Source organism: Homo sapiens, chromosome 20 (assembly GCF_000001405.40).
Source record: "Homo sapiens chromosome 20, GRCh38.p14 Primary Assembly".
Taxonomy (NCBI): domain Eukaryota; kingdom Metazoa; phylum Chordata; class Mammalia; order Primates; family Hominidae; genus Homo; species Homo sapiens.
In genome coordinates, this window is record NC_000020.11 from 49,462,470 (window position 1) to 49,485,569 (window position 23,100).

At 49.7% G+C, this 23,100-nt stretch overlaps 1 protein-coding gene across 2 annotated transcripts in view, besides 2 other annotated features; it reads right to left on the reverse strand.

Moving 5' to 3' along the window:
• KCNB1 (potassium voltage-gated channel subfamily B member 1) overlaps positions 1–20,893 on the reverse strand; it is a 119,486-nt gene extending 98,593 nt beyond the window's left edge. The window contains exons 1-2 of one of the 2 annotated variants that reach the window (XM_011528799.3): positions 20,772–20,893; positions 19,445–20,177 (exon numbers count right to left, since the gene is read on the reverse strand). In XM_011528799.3, coding sequence (XP_011527101.1) covers positions 19,445–20,011 — 567 coding nt within the window. In that variant the 5' untranslated portion in view covers positions 20,012–20,177; positions 20,772–20,893. Of the gene's footprint in view, positions 1–19,444; positions 20,200–20,771 lie in introns of those variants that run through there. The other variant, NM_004975.4, reaches the window with a different exon arrangement.
• Positions 21,832–21,971: a silencer, noted in NCBI's record as "silent region_12997". NCBI's record gives its function as "represses an Ori minimal core promoter by ATAC-STARR-seq in GM12878 lymphoblastoid cells {active_cell/tissue: GM12878}" and the evidence as "EXISTENCE:reporter gene assay evidence [ECO:0000049][PMID:35858748]".
• Positions 22,062–22,121: a silencer, noted in NCBI's record as "silent region_12998". NCBI's record gives its function as "represses an Ori minimal core promoter by ATAC-STARR-seq in GM12878 lymphoblastoid cells {active_cell/tissue: GM12878}" and the evidence as "EXISTENCE:reporter gene assay evidence [ECO:0000049][PMID:35858748]".

Below are 23,100 nucleotides of genomic sequence, written 5' to 3' on the forward strand. Positions count from 1 at the left end.
ACAAAGATTTGCCACCCGAGGTTGTGCTTGATGCCAGAAATAAGAAGAGGGAAGGTGGGATATGATGGTTGATTTTATGTGTGAATCCGACTGCGCCATGGGGTGGCCAGATTAAACATTTATTTGTGTGTCTGTGCAGGTGTTTCTGGATGAGATTAGTATTTCAGTCGGTGGACTCAGAAAAGTACCTAGCCCTGCCCAATGTGAATGGACATCATCCAAGCCTCTGAGAGCCTGAATAGAAAAAAAAGAGGCAGAGGACGGAGAAATTTGCCCCTTTTGCTTCCTGCCTGCCTTCTGAGCTGGGACATGGGTCTTCTCCTGCCTTTGCACTGGGATTTATACCATCGGCTTCTCTGGTTCTCAGGCATTGGGACTCAGACCAAATTACATCACCAGCTTTCTCCTGAATGTTCAGATTGTGGAACTTCTCAGCCTCCTTACTCATGTGAGCCAACTCCTCAGAATAAATGTCTTACTGGGAAGCTGGGCATGGGGGCTCACGCGTGTAACCCAGCTATTTTGGAGGTCAAGGCGGAAGGATTGCTTGAGGCCAGGAGTTCGAGGCTGCAGTGAGCTATAATTGTGCCACAGCATTCCAGCCTGGATGACAGAGTGAGACCCGGTCTCTCAAATAAATGAATAAATAAACAAATCTCTTAGTGATTCTGTTTCTCTGGAGAACCTTAATTAATACAGGGGACCTATTGCTTCTGTCATCCAAGCTCTGTCTCTTTCCTCCCTTCCAGGTGGGGGCCTCAGAGGCAAGAAATGCACCCCCAACATTTCCAGCCACGTGAAGGCTCTATGCTCCAGAGGTCAAAAATTAGAGCCACGAGGGCTGCATATGGTTCCAAACATATTCTGTTTGGCCCACTCAAATTGTTTTCAATTATTTTTTTTGAGACAGGAAAACAATGGAGCTTCCTGACATGTGACACTGATGCTGTTTCACTCAACAAGCAAAAGGTACCTGCTTCACTCTTCATTTTAAAATGGAAATTGAAACCATACCGAGATACCCGCTTCCATCTGTTAGAGTGACAAAAAAATCAGAAAGTTCACAATACATGGTGCTGATGAAGTTGTGGGGAAACAGGCACCCTCACACATCGTTGGTGGGAGAATAAATTGGTACAACCTCTACAAAGTGCAGTTTGGTCATATGGATCAAAATGTAAAATGCACAAATCTGTTATAAAATCTGACTTCCAGAGATTTCTCCCACAGATATACTCACAGACACACACACACACACACACAGATGTTAAGTGCAAAGACAGTCACCACAGTATTGGAGTTTTTGTTGTTGTTGTTGTTGTTGTTGTTTTGAGACGGTGTCACGCTCTGTCACCCAGGCTGGAGTGCAGTGGCGCGATCTCGGCTCACTGCAAGCTCCGCCTCCTGGGTTCACGCCATTCTCCTGCCTCAGCCTCCCGAGTAGCTGGGACTACAGGCGCCTGCCACCACACCCGGCTAATTTTTTTTTTTTTTGTATTTTTAGTAGACACGGGGTTTCACTGTGTTAGCCAGGATGGTTTCGATCTCCTGACCTCGTGATCAGCCCGCCTCAGCCACCCAAAGTGCTAGGATTACAGGCGTGAGCCACCGCACCCGGCCTTTTGTTGTTGTTTTGAGACAGGGTCTTGCTCTGTCACCCAGACTGGATTGCCGTAGTACAATCATGGCTCACTGCAGCCTTGACTCCCTGGGCTCAAGCAATCCCCCCACCTCAGTTTCCTGAGTAGCTGGGACCACAGGCACATGCCACCACACCTGGCTACTTTTTGTAGAGATGGGGTCTCACTAAGTTGCCCAGGCTGGTCTCAAACTCCTGGGCTCAAGGGATCCTCCCACCTTGGCCTCCGTAAGTGCTGGGATTACAGGAATGAGACACTGCACTTGGGCATGTTTTTAACTTTTAAAATGATTTGCCAACGTTGAAAAACCGGGATAGCTCCCATGAAAATTAAAATTTCTGGCTAAGTCCAGACCCAGTCTGGAGCTGAATGGCTGCTGCCTTCTCAGGCAGGCTTCTGCTCCAGTTCACCACTAGCCCCCTCCACTCCCTGCCTGAAAAGTGGCTGGCCATGGAATAGGCATGTTAGGCTGGGTGTTGACCAGTGTCCTCCTTGAACTTGCCCTCCTACAGTTCTTCCAGCAACTGCTTCACTGGGTGACAAGGCCTACCTAGCTCCGGTAGCCATCAGAGTCTGAGGCCCCGGCTCTTGCCTAGGCAGGGAGGTTAAGGCCTTCTCCTCCTAACCCATAAGGACCTCTGAGTCATTCTGCCCTGCGGGCAGAGCTGGCTTCAAGGGTGTGCAACCTGCACAGTTGCACAGGGCCCTGCGCTCACAAGGGCTCCATGCTCGGTTTGCTACTCTGCTATCACCATCTCAAAATTCTTTCTTACTTTTGAACAAGGGGACTGCATTTTTATATTGTACGGCACCCCACGAATTCTGTAGCTGGCCCTGCCAGTAGGTCACTTGGTAATTAGGGACACCCAGTCCCCCATACACCCTGCCCCCAAGGACTGCTCTCATCCATCTAGAAAACCACCTCTTTGGATTGGCCAGTTCTCCCAGGCATGAGGCCAGCAAGGGTCCCAAATTTTTATACAAGAGGGGCTTGGGGACAGTAACCTGGGGTGGGGAGGGGAACAAGAGGACTTTTCTTGGGTTGCATTTGCATAGAGCTTTATGTAACATGGAGGACGCTCCATCAAAGAATGGGGGAGTGTGATGGGGCCTGGGGGTGGGAGGTGGAGGAAGTATCTAACACTTCCTCTCCAACCATTCCTTGGCACAGTCATTGCATGAAGGGTTTGAGCAGGCAAGGGTATCATCAGGGGCAGGACTAAAGCAAGGTCAGGGGTAGACTCTCTTGAGGAGAGGAAGGAGAGAAGGAAAAACAACTTAACACGAATGAAGTACCTGTGCTCAGCCCAGCACAGTGCTGGGCCCTCTGGCACGGTTAAGTACACCTGTCTTTCCAGTAGCTTTGCTTGGTAAAGTCACCATGCCCGTTTTCCAGCCAAGGAAATGGAAACTCAGAGAGAAGAAGGGTCTGCCCAGGGTCTCATTGCTCATATGTGGGGAGTATGAACCCAGACCTCCAGAGTTCCAAACCAGAGCTCTTTCCACCTACCCTGCCAGGGAGACGGCACATGAGAGGAGGAAAAACATTGGTGCAGAGAAAGGGAAAGATGCCTACCCCAAGTGGGCATAATCTCAAAATAAACCAGAGAAACATGTTATGATGGGAAGACTGTAAACATTACCAAGTCCAAACTGGCCATTCAAGGTCAGGGAGGGCCTCTCTGAAGAGGTGACCTATGAGCTGAGATCTGAAGAAGGAGAAGGGGCTGGCTGACACTGCAAGATATGAAGCCAGAGGCCCAGAGAAGTTAAGTGATTCACTCAAGGTCACACAGCTAGCTTGCATCTTCCTTCCCACCAATCCACCCACAAACACCCAATAAGCCCCTCCTCTGCACCAGGCCCTGATGCAACTTCAGAACACAGGTCAGCAAACTTTTTCTATAAAGGTTTAGATAATAAATGCGTTTTAGGCTTTATGGCCATACATCCAAAAGCAGCTGTACATGGCAGGTGAATGAATAGGCCTGCCTGTGTTCCATTAAAACCGTATTTACAAAACAGGCAGCCCACCCACCCTGTTTTGAGCACAGAAGTGAGTAAGATACAGTCTTAGACTTTGAGAACATCCTGTTTTATGTGGAGAGATGAAACAAGTTAAGAAGAAAATAGAATACGAGAGAGAGCACACTGAACAGTGCAGGATAAGCGGAATGGCGATCTTATAGGAGAAAGATCACTCCTGTAGCTCAGCAGGGCAGACATCAAGTTCAGGCTCTCAGAAAAGTGCACGCTCTCAGAAAAGTTCACATACACTGAGAAGTTTTCTTTGACCTTGCCCCATTAATCTCTGTCAAAACACCTTGTTTCTCTCCTTCCAACATACATATTACACTTAGTGTGATTATTCTTTCATTTAATTTTTAATTTGTTTAATGCGTATCTCCCTCCAGTAGGTTATAAACTCTATGATGGCCATGGATTATTTCTGCCGGTTTACATTTATTCTCCCCACTCTTGGTAAGAGGACTTCAATTTTTCTTTGGGAAAGCACCTCTTTCCCATTCTCAATCCCATCCCAGCTCCAGCCATTGACATGTGACCCAGACGCAGCTATGTGATTGGCTCAGGGCTGGGCCAATGAAAATCAGCCCTGGGATTTTGCTGGGCCTATTGGAAAAGAGACTTGCTTTGCCCCAGGAAGAAAGCCTGGATTTGAGGGGGCCATCTTTCCTGCCATGTTGGTGCAGCCTGCTGAGAAGCCATGACAAAGAAGAATAGAGCTTAGAGATGTAGGATACCAAGTCTTGATGACATATTTAAGCCCCTGGATCCAACCTTGCTGGAAACCTTACCCAACCCAAGACTTTTTTTTTTTTAACATTTTGCCTAAGTCCATTGGAGCTACCTTTCTGTCACCTGCAGCTAGAAGAATCCTAACAAATAGATACACACGTGATTTTCAAGCACCCAGCAGGTTGCCTGGCCCACAGTAACATGCACTAAATTGTTTATCAGACAAACCACAGGCAGGATTGAAACAGGTCCTCAAAGCATGCACATACTCCCACCTAAACTTAGAAGGACCAGAGAAGCCTAGAATGGAAGCCACCTTGAAACAGAAAGAATGATCTAGAAACAGGAGGAATGACTGAGTCGAATTACAGTCACTATTTCAAGAAACAATAAAGGTTGTGCAAATGTATCCACTGAAAAGAGATAAAAGAAACTCGATCCATTCACAGAGACAGTGGGAATTCCAGACAAGTGATAAGCAAAGGAAAGGCTGGTTCTGCCTTGTCTTGTCTCCATCTTTCCTTTTGCCTCTCATATGCCCCTGACAGGGCAATCATCGGCTGCCTCTTCGGTACAACTGAGTCTACAAAGACTCTGAGAGGTGGGGCTGGCCAAGCTCAAGGGCTCCAAGGATCACACAAAGCTTAGAAAGACTCAGGGATGGCCTGTAGGGAGTGATTAGTGACAATTGATGATCTGTTTTTAGAAACTGTTTGGTTCTAGGCCCATTACCTGGTGGATGTAAGTGATGGTGTGGAATTGGCAAATGCAATATTATTCTCTCAAAGACAGTGCCTGCCTGCCAGCCCATGGTGGGCAGTTGTGGTAGAAACCAGTCTCATTTCAGAGCAAAAATGGAGCAGCTGCCAGGTGCAGTGGCTCATACCTGTAATCCCAACACTTTGGGAGGCCAAGGTGAGAGGATTGCTGAAGCCCAGGAGTTTGAAACTGGCCTGGGTAACATAGGAAGACCCTGTCTCTACAAAAAAAGAGTACAAAAATTAGCCGGGTGTGGCGGTGGTGCACACTTGTAGTCCCAGCTACTCAAGGGGCTGAGGTGGGAGGATCATTTGAGCCCAGGAGGTCAAGGTTACAGTGAGCCATGATCGCGCCACTGCATTCCAGCCTGGGCAATAGAGCGAGACCTTGTCTCAAAAACAGTCAGGGTGTGAGGGAACACCTCAAGTGTCTAACTTAATTGTGTGTCTCCTCTCTGTAAATGGAAGGCAAAAGGCCACTTCTTTCTGCAGGCAGGTAGAGACAAGAAAGGTGGAAGGAGCAGGGTGTACCTGGAAGAGACCCTTACCTTTTAAGGAAGACCCCTCTGATCAGTCATCACAAGATCATGCACATTTGCTCATTTATTCACTCAACAAACGTTTACCAACACCTACCTGCAGTAACAATAGTAATAGTGAAATATACTGAACACCTGCTGAGTGCCAGGCACGGCTTGAGTGTTTCATATAGAATTTGCCCAACAACCCTGGTTGTTATGAGGCTTTCCAAATTACGGATCAGGACATTGAAACCTAGAGAAGTTATGTAATTCCCCAAAGGGCACACAGCTCAAAAGTGGCTGAGCTGGGATTTGAACCCAGGCAGTCAGGCTGCACAGCCTGCACGCTTAAGCTTTCCTGTTTCTCTGTAGGCCAGGCCTGGCATCCACAGAACAACCCACAAGTGAATTTTCACGATGTTTTGTGCGAGGAAGGTATGAACGTCAGGTTTCCGGTGCACAGAGGAGGGAGCAGTCAGTGCTGCCTGAAGGGAAGTGTAGGTGGTGGTAGGGGGGCGGGGGGTGGTTAAAGAAGGCTTCACAGAGGAGGTGGTGGGGAAGCTGGGCCTTGAAGGTGGAAAGAGAGAGGCTGCAGGCAGAGAAGAGGAAGAAATGGGTGCAAGGCAGAGGAACAGCTTGGGCAAGAGGGTGACCAGCGCTGAGGAAGGCTGGAGCTTTTGGGGGCATGCAGAAAGGTTAGTGTGGTGGTCGCAGAGGGTGTCTGAAGAAGGGATGGGGAGGAGATGAAGGTGGAGAGTTGGGTTGGGATGTCGAAAGCCAGGCTAAGGAGTGTGGACTATCCTGGGGGCAGTGGGAACTATGGAAGTTTTGGGAAGGGGGTGATGAAGTTGAGCAGACTGCATTTGAGAAAGTCGGCTCTGGCTGCTCTGCAGAGGTTGAACTGGATGGGAAAGGCTGGAAGCAGGGAGCCTATTCTGGGGCTCAGAGGCTCCCAGGAAGGGTCAGAGTTCAGCAGTGACCCACAAGGTCGCACCTCTGATCTCACCTCCTTCTACTCTCTTGCCTCCGGTACACTCTGCTCCAACCACATTAATACCTGAATGTTCCTTGAGTGCCCCAGGCACGTTCCTGTCCCAGGGCCTTAGCACTGCTTTTCTCTCCACCCAGAGCACTCTTCCCCCACATGCCCACATGCCTGTCTCCCTCCCTTTCTACTTGGCACCTTCTCCTTTCCTGACCAGCCTGGTTAAGCCCCAGCACTCCCCTCCTTCCCTGCAGAACTTTCTCCACAGTGCCATCCAAAATATTATATCAGGCCGGGCACGGTGGCTCACGCCTGTAATCCCAGCACTTTGGGAGGCCAAGGTGGGTAGATCACTTGAGGTCAGGAGTTTGAGACCAGCCTGGCCAACATGGTGAAATCCCATCTCTATTAAAAATACAAAAAATTAGCTGGGCATGGTGGCGGGTGCCTGTAATCCCAGCTACCTGGGAGGCTGACGCAGGGGAATTGCTTGAACCTGGGAGGCAGAGGTTGCAGTGAGCCGAGATTGAGCCACTGCACTCCAGCCTGGGCGACAGAGCAAGACTCTGTCTCAAAAAAAAAAAAAAACTACATAATTATTTGATCTTGTCATTTCGTCCATAAACACTTCAGTATGTGTATCTAAAAGATAAAGATTTTAAAACATAGTCGTAATAGCATTATCACATCTAAAAACACAGCATTCATTCCTCAATATCATCCAATATTCAGTTAGCATTCATCTTTCTTTCCCTGATTGTCTTACAGTCTCATGATTTATTTTGCATGGTTGTTTTGGTCCAATCAGTATCTGTGTTTATTTTTTTAACAGTCTTGCTCCTTCTTCTACTGGAATATCAGTGCCATGAGAGCTGGGATCTTTGTTTTGATCTCTGCTTTGTCCCCAGCACCCAGCACAATGCTTGACACATAGTAGGTGCTCAATAAGTTCCACTGAATGAATATACACAACCAATCCTGATAATAAAAGTTTGTTATTGACCTGTTGGGCATTATGTGTCTGTTACTGTTATTTGCCATAATTATCAAATCCTTACAATCTCCTTATGAGGTACGTGCTGTGATTAGGTCCATTTTACAGATGAGGAAACAGCTACGTGACCCAAGGACTCACAGCTTAAAAAAAGGCTAGGGCTTAAGACCCATTGCACAGCCTGAGGGTCTGTGACCACTGGTGGAGGCAGGGGCGTTGTGGCTTCCCAGGAGCTGCCTCCACACCTTACATCCAGAGTCCAGCCACTTTTCACCGATCTTCCCTGCCACCACCCTCTTCTGGGCTGTCATCTTTCTTCTCTTTCCTGGAATAATGCAATATCCTCCTGGCAGCGGCTTATCCCTTCTTTCTCTAATGTCCATTCTCCACTGCTAAACATCCTCCAATGCACAGGACAGCCCCACGGCAAAGAATTCTCCATCGCCAAATGTCAGTAGCACTAAGGTTGAGAAACTGGGCTCTGGTTGAAAAACCAGACACATTCTTCATCCAGAGCCTGGCATAAGCAGCTGAGAGTCAGACTTCTAGCAATGTGTTAGTAATAAGAGTGAAAGTCCCAAAGTTTGTAAACAAATTCCTTTTTCATCAATTAGTATTCTCAGTTATCTCTAGGATAACATCATTCATTCATTTATTCAATGCATGTATTTCATGCCTGCTCTATGGCAGGCACTGAAGACACAACAGTGGACAAAGCACACAAAATCCCTGCCCTTTGAAGCTTACATCAAAGTGGGAGAGAGAGAAAGGAATCATATAATTAAGTAATTATATGTCAGGTTGAAACAAATAAAGCAGCCATGGGGAATGAACAGTGCTATTTTATATGTGGTGGTCAAGGATGGCCTTGCTGAGATGACATTTGAGCTGAGACTTGAACAATGTGAGGGGTGAGTCTCGTGGCATCAGCAGGAAGACCGTACCAGGCAGAAGGGACGGACAGTAAGTGCAAAAGCCCTGAGGTGGGAGGGTGCCTAGAACAGCAAGGAGGCCACTGTGGATGCAACAGAGTGATGGAGAGGGAGAGTGGTAGGGAAGGAGGCTGTAAGGGTGCTGGGAAAAGGGGAAAGATGCCAGATAATGGGCCCTGTGAGTGGGACTGAGGAGTTGGGCTTTTTCTCGGAGTGAGGCAGGAGCCATAGGAGGGTTTTGAGCGGGGGCGTGAGTTGCTGTGTGTGGAGACCAGACGGGGGATGGGAGGCTGGAGGCAGCAGATGGGACTAGAGGCTCCTGCAATGGTACAGGAGGGAGAGGATAGGGTCAGGAAGGCAGCAGTGGGGTGGCAAGAAGTGGCCACAACCTAGACACGTCACTCACACTTGCATCTCACTCTCTCACTTGCATTCTGCCAAGCCGTCCTGAGTGGAAGAGGAAGGGATGAGCCATGCTGGGTGTGTCAGAGATTGCCCCTTATCCTGGCAACAATGATAACAGCAGCTGCCCCAGATGGCGACTCCCTCTGTTCCCAGCACTGCACATGGTGCTCCACAGCTTAGCACCTCTGATCTCCGCCATCCCATGTTGTCTTCTGTGGCTGGGCTTCCTGGCCGTGTGCAGAATCACCCAGGGCAACAAATGGTGTGGGGAAAATGGGGATATCCCCATGCAATGGAATGAAGTTGGTTCCTTATCTTACACACCACATGCAAAGACCTAAAATAAGACTACAACTGTCAAACTCTCAGAAAAAATTTGGGGAAAAGCTTTATGATTTCCCCCTATTGCCAAAGATTCCTCGAATATAATACCAAAACACAGGCAACAAAAGAAAAAACAGACAACTCGGTCTTCAACAAAATACAAAACTTCTGTGTATTGAAGGACACAATCAACAGGGTGCAAAGACAACCTATGGAATGGAAGAAAATATTTGCAAATCGTATATCTTATTAGGGATTAATATCCAGAATATATAAAGAATTCTTACAACTCAATAACAACAACAACAACAAAAACCCCAATTTAAAAATAGGCAAAGTACTTGAGTAGACATTTCTCCAAAGAAAATACAGTAGTCCCCCCTTATCACAGCAATATCACTTTCCAAGGTTTTAGTTACCTGCAGTCAGCTGTGGTCCAAAAGTATTACATACTATAAGATATTTTGAGAAAGAGAGACCACTTTCACATAGCTTTTATTATAGTATTTTGTTGTAATTATTCTATTTTATTATTAGTTTTTGTTGTTAATCTCTTACCGTGCCTAATTTATAAATTAAACTTTATCATAGGTATGTATGTGTAGGAAAAAACATATAATATACAGGGTTTGGTACTATCCGAGGTTTAGGCATCCTGATAAGGGGGTGCTAGTATATACAAATGGCCAAAAAACACATGAAAAGATGCTCAGCGTCACTAAACATCAGGGAAATGCAAACCAAGACTGCAATGAGATACCACCTCATGCCCATTTGGATAGCTACTAAAAAAAAAAACGTAAACAAAAAAATAGCAAGCATTGACAAGGATGTTGATATAGTGGCTATTTGTCCCCTCCAAATCTCATGTTGAAATGTGATCCCCAATGTTGGAAGAGGGGCCTGCCTAGTGGGAGGTCTTTGGGTCATGGGGGTGGATCCCTCACGGATGGCTTGATGCCCTCCTTACGGTAATGAGTTCTTGTGAGATCTGCTTGTTTAAAAAGGCCTGGCTTCTCTCTTGCTCCCTCTCTCTTCATGTGACACACGTGCTTCCCCTTTGCCTTCTGCATGACTGTAAGCTTCTTGAGGCCCCATCAGAAGCAGATGCCAGCACTATGCTTCTGGTACAGTCTGCAGAACTGTGAGCCAAAATAAAACTCTCTTCTTTATAAATTACCCAGCTTCAGGTTTTTCTCTATAGCAATGCAAAATGGACTAATACAGATAGGAAGAAATTGGAACCCTTGTACACCATTGGTGGGAATGTAAAATGGTAACAGTCACTATGAAAAACAGAGCAGCAGTTCTTCAAAAAATTCAAAATAGAATTACCATATGATTCAGCAATTCCACTTCTGAGTATATACCCAAAAGAATTGTTAAAAATCTAGTTGGTTTCTGCTTATCCATGCCCAGAAGAATTGAAAGCATGAACTCTAAGAGATATCTGTACCCCATGTGAATAGCAGCATTATTCACAATAGCCAAGAGGCTGAAGCAACCAAGTGTCTTTTGATGGAGGAATGGATAAACAAAATGTAGTGTATACATACAATGGAAAATTATTCAGTCTTTAAAAGGAAGGAAATTCTGACACATTACAACATGGACGAAGCTGAAGGACAGCATGATAAGTGAAATAAGCCAGTCACAAAAGGACAAATACTGTATGATTCCACTTATATGAGGTACCTAGAACAGTTGAGTTCAAAGGGACAGAAAGTAGGAAGGGGGTTGCCAGGGCCTAGGAGGTGGGCCCAGGAGAATTTAATGGGCACAGAGTTTCAGTTTTGCAAAATGAAAAAGTTCTGGAGATTGGTTGGACAACAATGTGAATATACTTTACTGAACTATACATTTTAAAACGGTTAAGATGGAAAATTTCATATTATGTGTATTTTACCAGAACTAAAAAGAAACCACTTAGGGGGTGAGTTTCAACTGTGGGGCCTAGGCATGAGTATTTTGCAAAGCCCAGGTGATCCTTATGTGCAGGCAGCATGGAGAAGCGCTACTCTGTGAGGTGTGCCCCAGGTATTACCCCCACCTCCCAGTCTCAGAGAGGTGAGGCGCCTTGGGGGCTCATATAGCCAGGAAGCAGAGGAGGTGGGATTTGAATCCAGGCCTGTACCCAGGTCCACAGAAGTGTGTCTCACATGGCAACATTACATCTTATTTGTTATTTATGTCATCAGAGAAAACATTTAAGGAGCATTGGCGCCCTGGATATTAACATGAGAATTCTAGCTCCCACCCCACCCACTCCCGATACGGGGGCTGAGAGATTCCTCCCATTTCTGGCCCCACCTAGTCATGCCCACTCCTGCTGGAGACACCAAAATCAAGTTGATTTCACCTCAGGGAGAAGGTAGGACCTTATGCATTTAGTTTATCTATTAAAATAATGCTTAATGCTAAATCTGTCTCTCCCATAGTCCCATCCAGGAGCCTTTGGGGGTAAAGTCGTCCTAGATCCAGAGCTAAGAACACTCCTAAGTCATAGGGTGATTCTGGACAAATCTCTCTCCTCTCAGCACTGCCCCAGCATGAGAAGGGAATACTGGGATCTTGCTTCTCACTTTCTGAAGGTCACTCATACAACTCAGAGATCAAAGTCATGGGCTGGGCAGTCAGGGAGTCCTGGGTGGGATCTGTCCCAGCCTTCCATTCACTGTGTGACCCTGGGCCAGACACTTCCCCTCTCTGAGCCTCAGTTTCCACGGCTGTAAGATGAGGGTAGTTATCCCTCCCTTATGGGGGGGCTGTGAAAATCAGATGTGATGGGGCATTTAATGCCCTTTGCACTATGCCAGGCAAGCACATTGTAAGCACTCAGTGTTAGCTGTTGCTGCCACCACTGTGGTTTTCATTTTATCTAAGAGACAGAGATGAGGCTGACTGTGCCCTGCCAGACCTAGAATTTCTTCTTTTACGACAACCTCCTAGAGGTTCTCTCTATCGGGGGTGGGCTGTCTATAATACAACACCAGGTCATTCTGAATAAATGATATGTCCTACAGAGCTTTGGTTGGTTTCCCCAGAATCTCAGATCCTAAGACAAGGTTCTGAGTACAAGTGGCTTATATGATAAGTGATCCCAGAAAACTCTGGAAGAGGGGAGGGAACATGAGACAGGGATAGGAAAGAGGTCAAACAGGGTCTGTTATCAAACAAGTAATTGCTGTGAGCAACTGAAGCTGCCCTGGGGACCAGTGTAGAACACACACCTCTGAGTTATACCCCCAGCCAGGGGAGAAGCACGTACACATCGTCCCCATCAGCCGGCAGGTGAGTATCCCACTAGTTCCTGCTGGGGTGTTAGTGCCCTGCCTTTACTGGACTCCAGTGGCCAGAGAAAGCCTCTAACCTTACAATGAGCAGGTATCATTTGATGAGAGCAGTTTTTTGAAAAGGAGCTTATTTATCTTGCAGGATTGTCAGGAGGATTACATGAGAGGACAGTAAAAAAGAAAAAAAACAACAACAGCAAAACCCAACAGTTATTGAGAGCTTTCTACATACCAGGTCCTAGTCTAAGTGCTTTGCATACATTAATGCATGTAACTCAATCCAATGAGGCAGGCACAGTGATTGGCCCAAAATTGCTGTTGGCTGAAGGAACCAGGGCACAGAGGGCTGCAATAGTTGACCCCAAATCACATGGTTAGTGAGTAGAGAAGCCAAACTCTGAACTTGGGCAATCCAGTGCTAAGGTCAAGTGCTTCCCATCCTGATGACATTATCAAGTACAGGAAGTACACAAAGTGCTGGGTATGGAGTTGGTGCCTAACGCATGCTTGTTCTCTTCTAGTTAGTTAAGCTTTGGCCAACCCATTCATTTGACCATCTCTTTTTCTTCCTAGCATTTCACATTCACACAGCAAGTCGGTGAAAGATCAGGGGCCATGCCCAGGCCTTTCTGGCCCCGCCACCCGTACCCGCTGAGGCTCAGGGATCTTTCTGTTACTCCAGGATGTTTGACCAGGATCATCTCTTAGCAGCTGGTCTCTCAGGGGATTTGAAAGGCTATGATGGGCTGTGTGATCCTCAGCAGGTCACTGGAGCATCCTGGGTCTCTGGGTTTCTTTATCCTGTGGGGATGTGGGATTTCTCAGGCACAGCTTCAACTCTGATCATGTGCTATCATCCTTCATCCTTCAGACAACCCTGTGGAGTAGGTTTTATTATCGCCCTCACTTACAGATTAGGAAATGGAAGTGATGAGAGGTGAAGCAAATTGGCCAAAGTCCACAGCTAGGACAAGGCTGGGCTGCGATTCGAAGCCAGGTCTGTGTGACCCCACAATCAGGATTCAGAATTGCTGGCATATTATCTGCCAGGATAAAAACAGGCATCTGGTTTGACCAAGCTGGGGCCAGCAAGAGCCTAAGTCGATGACTCATCACACTGAAGGGGCCCCATAGATTCTGAGTTGGTTCCCGCATTTCTTTTGATGATAATACACAGATCCTTGTGGCTCAGGTCAAGGAAGCTGGAACCTCATTACACTAGAGACGTGTAGCTGGAGCAGAGGAATTCCGTGAAAACACTAACAATCGTTGCTGCCACTTACTGAATGCTTCCCATGAGTCAGGCGCTGGGCTAGGCTCTTTACATTAGGGGCATCTCCTAACAGCTCTTCATGGTTGCCTCTGTTATAATTCTCATTTCCTAGATAAGGAAAGTGACACTCAGAGAAGGAAAGGGGCTTGCCCAAGGTCATATTCATGGTAAGCAATGGAGACAAGAAATCAACCGCATCTGTTGGACTCCAGAGCTGATTCTTAATCAAGTCTGTGATGGGAAAAATATTGACCACTGTTCCTAAAGAAAGGCCACTCTAAGCTGGGCATGATGGCTGTCACCTTTAATCCCAGTGCTTTGAGAAGCTTAGATGGGAGGATCACTTGAACCCAGGAGTTCGAGACCAGCCAGCACAATGTAGCAAAACCCTGTCTCCACAAAAAAAAATTTCTAATGTAGCCAGGAGTGATGGTGTGCACCTGTAGTCCCAGCTACTCAGGAGGCTGAGGCAGGAGGATCACTTGAGCCCAGGAGTTTGAGGTTACAGTGAGCTCTGATTGCACCACTGCACTCCAGCCTGGGTGACAGAGCAAGACCCTGTCTCTGAAAAAAGTTAAAAAATTAAAAATAAATAAATAAAGGCCACTCCCACTTTTGAATACAATAATACTTCATACTTATAAAGTACTTTCCATTTACAAATTACATTCACATCTGAAATCTCATTGAATCATCAAAAGAGCCCTGAAAGGGAGCTATGACTATTATCACCATCAGGCAGATGAATTCACTGGACCTGAGAGCTAAAATGATCCACCCAAGGTCCCAGGATTTAGAAACATAGGCTTGGGAACCAGACAAACTTGGGTTCAAACCTTGGCTCTGCAATTTTCATTCCTTTGATAAATATTTACTGAGAACCTAGCTGTGTGGGCTCAGGCAAGTGACTTCGCCTCTCAGAGCCTCCATTTCCTGTTCTGTAAAAGAGTCTTCATACCACTTATCAGATCCATTCCCTCTCTCATCTGAAAATGCCAGACACTTGCTTTCTCAGGTTCCCTCAGAGCTAGAGCATGAGCATGTGACCTGTCCTGGCCAATGGGATTTTAAAAGAAGTCTGCTAGGGTGCTCCTGGGAAAGGGTTTCCTCTCAGAAAAAAAAAGAAAGTGGGCCAGGCGCTGTGGCTCACACCTGTAATCCCATCACTATGGGAGGCCAAGGCGGGCAGATCACTTAAGGTCAGACATTTGAGACCAGCCTGGCCAACATGGTGAAACTCTGTCTCTACTAAAAACCCCAAAATTACCTAGGCATTGTGGTACATGCCTGTAATCCCAGCTACTCGGCAGGAGGCTGAGGCAGGAGAATTGCTTGAACCCAGGAGGCGGAGGTTGCAGTGAGCTGCCGAGATCATGCCACTGCACTCCAGCCTGGGCGACAGAGCAAGACTCCATTTCAAAAACAAAAGAAAGAAAGTGGAGCATAGGAGAAAATGTTTCTCTTCACGGATTAAACATCACTGAATGTACGTCTGAGGGCTGGAACTGGGCAGCCATCTTGTGATATGAAGCATCAAGCATGAGGACCAAGCCACTTGCAGGGGTTGGGGAGCAGAGGAGCAGAGAGATGAAAAGAATCTAGAATCCTGGTGGCATCATTGAGCCATTAACTCAACCTAAAACCAACTGCCTTGGAACTTCATATTATATTCAATGATGCATCTTCCTCCTTATTGAAGCTACTTTGAGTTTTCTATTCTGCTGCTTGCAGCCCAAAGCATCCCTAACTGGCATACTACCTGGTTGTATCCCTGTTGGAGGAATTTCAATGAGATAGCAGATATGAAGCACCACTAATCAGTGCTGGGCACAACAAACATAAGCTACCCTGGAAATTAGGAAGTTATCTCAGGGCTTTAATCCTGAGACTATCCCAGGGATCACAGACACTCCTGGGCTGGCAAATCAGTTCCCTGTCTCTCCTACTGAGAAAAGCCTGTCGAGTTTTCCGAGAAAGCCAAAGCCCCGTGGTAGCCCCAGCACCGCAACCCTGTCACACCAATGGGGCTGTCCCCATCTTCTAAACAAGAATCAATCACACTGCCTTTTGCCTAATGGGTTTTGATTTTCGCTCCCCTGATGGCAAAGCCTAGGGCCTGTGCTTTGGTTTGTCTCCGAGTTGCCAGAACATCCCATCAATTATTAACAGTGTCAGCTCAGTCTCCCTGGCCCTGCTGCTCTCAGAAGGAAAGGGTTTGCAGCAACTCGGCCCACCCAGCCCTAGAAAAAAGACTCTTTTCCTTAGCATTTATAACAACAATCCCCACCTGCTATGTGCTAGGCTTTGAGCAAAATTTTGACAAATGTGATTTAATGAAGACCCTGTAAGGTGAGCCTTTTATCTCCATTTTACAGGTGGAAGGTTGGGACTTGGAAAGTTGGAGAAATTAGCTAAAAGCTATGGAAGTGGGGAGTGGCACAGAACCAGATCCATCCTTGCTCTTCAGCATATGAGATATGGCCACTTTTGTATCTTACAATCACCTAGAAATGATCCTCCATTTGGTCCTGTCACTCTGTGAGTTCTAAGCAATTTCCACAGGCTTTGCTTGTTTTGACAAGCAAGGCATCCAAGCTGGGGGGATGGGTGGGGATGGGATGGGCAAGGTGCAGATGACTCAAAGGAGGCCAGAGGCACAGGGACCTGGGTTGCAGGTGGGCAGTGAGAAGGGGTGACAGGTCCCCAAACCCTGAGACACAGTGACTGACTGCTTGCTTGCTTGCTTGATTCATTCATTCGTTCATTCATTCATTCGTTCATTCATTCATTTATTCATTCCACATGCTCCTCAGTGCCAGGCACCATCATGGGTGCTGGGAATCAAGCAGTGAATCAACTCATGGTACTCACATTCTTGTGGGTGTGAAACAGAGACACACAAAGAAGGAAATATAATTTCAGATGGCGTTTAAGGCCTCTGCAGGAAAGGCATTGCATGATGCAACAGAGAGTGAGGGGAGGGAAACTGTTTAGAACAGCGGTCAAGGAAGGTCTGTATGAGGAGGGGACATGTGAGCAGGGACCTGCTCAAATGAGGAAGGGGGAGAAGGGGCTGGCCAAGGGGGAATCTGGGGAAGAGCATTCCAGGCAGCGGAAACAGCAAGTGCAAGGGTCCTGAGGTCAGATAAACTCTGGCCTGTTTATGGAACAGCAAGGCCAGTGGGGCTGGAGCCAAGTGAACCAGAGGAGATCAAAAGAGATGAGCCCAGAGAGGTCATGGGGGCCAGATTCTGCCTGGGCCTTGTATGCCAGGATGAAAAGTCTGAATTTTATTTTGAGTGTGATGGGAAACTTCTGGAGGATTTTAAGCAGATGAATAATGTGATCCAATTTACATTTTGAAAAGCTCACTTTGGCTGCTATGTGGGGAATGGATTGCAGGGGCAAAAGTGGAAGCCGGGAGACTGGGGAGGAGGCTGCGGCACTTGATCATTATAGAAAGAACACTCGGTTTGGATTTCTGGCTACTCCTGACTGCCTGTGGTGTGACCTTAGGCAAGTTACTTAACCTCTTTCAGCCTCACTGTTTGCGAAAGGTGGGATAATAACAGAGCTGCGTTGTTACACTCCATACACAGTAGGTGTTTGATCATTGGCAGCCAGGATTTCTATTCTGAGGGCCAGTGAGCCTGCCTCCCTCCCCATTTCAGCTCTGGCTACAGAAAATCCTAGATGGTCCATCTGCCAGGAATGTGAGCTGGCAGCCCCAGACTGGGATCATGGAGAGGTCACAAGGCTGTCCCTGCTAGCGGATTAACCCAAGGGAGAGGAGAGGTTCTTTATTCCCAAACAGCACCTCTTGCAAGCCCCGGTGCTTGGGTCTTGCTGCCAGACCAAAACATGGCCCTGTGCCTGCTTCTTCTCTGGGAGGGCAAATTGTCCAGTTCCCTGTACCTTGTTCTCATGTCTTAGGGATGGGACAGGGAGGGAGAGTCACATTTGGGCCTAAATGGGATGTGCAGTGGGAGAACCTGTGTCATGCCTGGAAATAGCAAAATAAGTCTGTTGATCCTAAGCTGATTAAGGGTGAGTGACTCTGTCTTAGGAGGAGGCTTTTTGGACACAAAATTGGGGGCGGGATTATGGAGAGAGACAGCCCACAGCCTCAGAGGAGGAAGCCAGGCCCAGGAGCCTCTACATCCTTGTTAGGGCCAACAGGGAAACGAAAAAAACACGTGGGGGCTCCCTCCACCCTCTTACCAGCCACCCCTTCTCCATCCACTCTCAGGGGCCTCTCCTTGGGTGGCTAGATCTGGAGGAAGGACCCCACGGAGTCTCCCTTCAGACTGGGACCTGCAGGTGGGCCTTCAGTGAGAACTGAGCCGGAGACCCCACAATGAAAGGCTGGGCTGGACAGGAGTCAGCCCTAGCTAGTAAGATATGGCTGGATATTTAGGCTTCCTCCTCTCCTCTTTCTTTTACCACAAATCTACTTACCTGACCCCTTTTTTTAGGCCCCACACTCAGTTACATTCTCCCCATGTTTCCCAAGTTGGTCTTGCTGGATTTCAACATCAACATCTCTCTTTTCTGGGTTCTCCGTGAACCTCACAGAACCTCTTTTATAGCCTTGCACACACTGTTTTGTCATTTGCTCCCAGCACCCAGCACTTCGGGCACATGAAGACAGGCCCCATCTTTCCCAGGCAACCCCAAATCCCAGCCTGACGTAGAGAAGTTGCTGATCAACCAGTGCCCTCCTGCCCTGCCTTGGCTCCCACCCCAAGCCTTCCTCAGTCCCCTACAGCCCCTGCCATTACCCAGCAGCACCAAAGACTCTCTGGCCCACTCTTTGTGTTCAAACTCATTCCTGCCTCCTCCTCCTCCTCCTCCTTTATTTTTCACATTGCCTCATTTTTCTCTCCTATTTTGAAATTTACATCTTGTTCCAAGAGCTGAAACATCTTTACAAGCTGCACCAAACCATTCTGGAAATAAACTCACCAAATAAATAAGTAACCAGGGGGTGACCCCTCACCCGCAAGCATCCACAACCAACTGCATGTGTCGTGTGGGTCCACACCCACCCCTCGGGGTCCCTTCTTACTTATGTTTAAACTATCTGACAGTATCTCAATGTCCTGTAAGCATGTCTGTAAGCTGCTTTTTTCCCTTGCTGGGGCAGAGTGAGGTTATAAATATGGAGATATTAAAATCACAGGGTGATCCAATCCAGCCTAGGTCTGGGACTTCACAGGGAAGCAAACCCTACTCCACCCCAGCAAGCCACTGTTGTCTCTCTGTGCTCTCTCTCTTATTCGTCAGTGTCCATCTTCTTGCTGTGGCTTTTTATGGGTCCCTGTGAAACCTCTCCAACCAAGTAGGGGTATAACGTCTTGGATAATAAAAAGATGGAGTGACCAGTGCCACATGGGAAAAGTCTGAGGGGGTTGGTCCTCACCTCTGGGGACTCAGTCCTAGCCCCTCCCCATTACTAATCTTCATCGTTGGGAACAAAGCCAGAGTCCTCCAGCAGTGGTCCTCAATATGGGGATGCAAGCAGATCCCCCCAGACCAGCAGCCCCCAGATCCCAGACTCACCTTGGCAGCCACAGAGGAATTGGGCTTCTCCAGTAGGTCCCAGAGTTTTTTCCTCTTCTCTGCGCAGCACGTGTTATCGAACTCCTCGCCTTCCCGCTCCCGTAGGGTCTCGGCCTCACGCTTGAGCTCCTCGTTCATCTGCTCTTTCTTCTGGTGGTAGCGGGCCTGGCAGCAGGACTCCAGGTAGATCTCGTCGATGCCCCAGTAGTCGAGCTCTTGGCTGAAGCTGAGCGCGCACATCTCCTCCATCATGTGCAGTCGCCCAGTGCGGTAGAAGTTGAGGATGGAGGTGAAGGCGCCCGGGTGGCGGTCAAAGAAGTACTCGTTGTCGTCGAGGCTGTAGTCATCGCACACCTCGAGCAGCGAGTCGTGCGTGTTGCAGTCGCGGAGCTTGCCCAGCCGCGTGCGGGGCAGGCGGTCCAGGGTACGCCAGAGTACCTCGTGCGCCAGCCCCCCGACGTTGAGGCGGACCCGCCGAGAGCACGCCTTGCTGCGCACGATCTCCATGGGCTCGGGCGGCAGCGAGCTGGTGGAGCGGGAGCCATGCTTCGTCATGCCCGCCGGCATCGCTGATCCGGCCGCCCCCGCCCCCCCTGCCCCCCCAGGCCGCTGTCACTCGACGGCAAGGCCCGCTGCTGCGGGGGAGGGGGGCAGGGAGCGCTGTGGGCTGCTGGGGGTGCAGGGGGCCCCGCGGGCGCGCGTCACGGCCGTCTTCTCACCTCCATCCCGACGGCTGCGAGGCAGAAAGCGAAAGCGGACGCGGGTCAGCAAACGGGGAGCTGGGCATGCTGTCCCCCCGCCCCCCACCTCTCCACCAGGCTCCCAGCCGGCCTTGACCTTCCCCCGCGCTTAAGCGGCTCAGTGGGGTAGGACGGATGGTCGCTGTCCCTCCCGCCGGTGCTGAAGTCCGCCGCACCCCATGGATGGAGGGAGGGGCCGCCCCTCGGGGCGGGGAGAGGGCCCCAAGAGATGCCCCTGGAGCCCGGGAGGCCCCACCCTGGGCTTCTGCGGCCCAGGCGCGACCCAGCCGCCCGGGGCGCTGTCCGCCCCTTAGAGTGCTGAAACTCTCTTCATTATGGGTCTCCCGATCGAGTCCCGAACCTGGCCCCGCCATGGGGAGAGAGGGGGAGCTGCATGAAAACTTTCTTTCTTTATCTTTTTCTTTCTTTCTTCTTCTTCTTTCCTTCTTTTTTTTTTTTTTAACGAGTTCTCTTCTTTTCCTTCCCCTTCTCGAGATAATCAAGATTTTGGGGGTGGGGGAATGGCAGCGGGCTTTTTTCCAAATCTTAAAAGATTTGGGGGAATTCCGGGGGTTCCAGGTGCCCACCTGTCCGAGGTCACAACAGACGGGGTGTGCACAACAGCCCCTCTGTCCTGGAGCGACCCCTCTTCCCAAACACTGGAGCATCTCCTGAGATTGCTCCAGCGACAAGGTGAGCCGCGAGGAGGAAAAGCCCGCTCTCGCCTCTCCCTCTGAGCCCCCAACCCTACCGCAGGAGGGGCGGGCAGAGTCCTCGGGATCCGCCTGCTCCGTCCTCCCCTCGCTCCTTCCCCGCCCCCTTCTCCTCCTTCTCCTCCCCCTCCTCTTCCTTCTCCCCCTCCTCCTCCTCTTCCTCCTCCTCCTCCTCCTCCTCCTACTCCTCCTCCTCGTTCCTCTCCCGCGATGGCTTTTTATAACTCCGGGTTCTGCGCCTTTCCCCGGGCTTGGAAGGGAAGGGGTGGGGGAGGTGGGAGGCGGGGAAATGAGCTAAATTTTCTGGCCTTTTCAAAAGGTGCCATCCTCCTACCGCGCACTAGTGATTTCGGGGGGTTCCCCTGAGCACCCCCTGCATGTAGGGCTCACGCCTTAGCCCCAGAATGGGGATTGCGCGTCCCCTCAGGCCTCAGCCCTTGCCTGCCTCCCACCCCGCTCCCCTCCAGCCTGGAGCTGCGGAGCCCGAGCAGACCAACAGGCCGAGCTGCGGCAGGCAAACCCCCTGTCCGTGTCCCCATGCACCCCCACGGAAGGCCGTACGCCCCAACACTCACCCCCAGGGCGGCCGCCTCCTGGGGCCAGGGACCGCGCATCGTCCCGGCCGCCCGGGCGCCCCCGCCCGTGGGCAGCGGCGGTCCCGGGGCCGGGCTGAGCCGGGCCTACCCCGGCCGGGCAGGCAACTCGCCCGGGCTGCAGGCGCCGCGGGGCCGGGGCGCGCTCTCCGAGGCGGGGGGCGCCGGCGGGCGCCGGGGGCGCGGGGGCAGGACCGCGGCCGCGCGGCACCTCCTCCACCTCCTCCTCCTCCTGCTCCCGCGGCGGCGGCGGCGGCGGCTGCCTGGGCGAGATCAACAAGTCGGGGCTGAGCTTCGGCTCCGCGCTCGCTGCTATTCTGTCCCGCACTTCGGAGCGCCCGGAGCCGGGCACCAAGGCAGGACGGCGCCACCTGCGGGTCGGAAGCGAGCGCGGCTTAACTCCTGCCTGCCCGGCCCAGCCTGCCGGGGAGGCCGGGGGCGGGCTCCGGGATCGGGCCAAGGAGACGCGCGTGGCCGTGCATCCCTCTCCACCCAGGCCACCTGCACAGCTGGCCTCGCGATCCCGCCTTCCTTCGTCCCGTCAACAACGTGTGTTGAACGCCTCCTGTGCGCGAGCCGCGGTGCAGGGCACGGTGACAGGCGTCTGAGATACAGCTGTGAATCAAACACAAACATCCGGCCCTCGTGGAGCTGGTTGGAAACAGATCATAAACAAAAAAGCGAAAGGATATATGAGGCGGTGACAAGCGCTGGGGGAAATAATGAAACAGGAGGAAGGGTCAGAGGGTGGGAGGGGGCAGATCGGAACTGTAAATAGCCCTTGCTTTCATGAGCTTCCATTCTAGATTTTAGCGGGGGGTCGGGGGTGGGGGACGGAGGCGGACAATGAATACATCAGTACATATGCAATGTGGCAGGTGGTGATAACCGCTAAGAAGAAAAATAAAGCGAGGTATGGGGAAGAGAGGGTGAAGAGTGAGCTGGTTTATATAGTCTGGTGATTCATTCATTCATTCATTCATTCATTTATTCATGTTAAGTTGGACATCTGGTTATTGACAGCTTCCTATGTGCAAGCAGAATGCCAGGCTCCGTGAAGGGAAAGTCTTCCCCCTGGAGCTCCCCATCCAGTGGGGGAGGCAAAACCCATCACATAATCCCAGAAATGAAAACTGGAGGAGGTACCTGGAGAGGCAGGCAAGGGTTCTCTAAGGATGCCACAGATGGGCCTTGTGTTTACTCATTTATTCTTTCAAATATTCATTTACTGCATGATAAGTAAATAGGTGTCAGCGGCCGGGCACAGTGGCTCATGCCTGTAATCTCAGCACTTTGGGAGACTGAGGCGGGAGGATGGCTTGAGCCCAGGAGTTGGAGACCAGCCTGGGCAACATAGTGAGACCCATCTCTGCCAAAAAATAAAAAATTAGCTGGGCATGGTGCTGCTTACCTGTGGTCTCAGCTACTCAGGAGGCTGAGGCAGGAGGATCACTTGAGCCCAGGAGGTCAAAGCCACTATAAGCTGTGATTGCACCTCTGCATTTCAGCCTGGATAACAAAGTGAGACCCTGTTGCAAAAAAAAAAAAAGAAAAAAAAAAGTGCCGGGGATGGGTACAGCAGTGAGCTCCCCTGCCCTGGAGGACAAAAA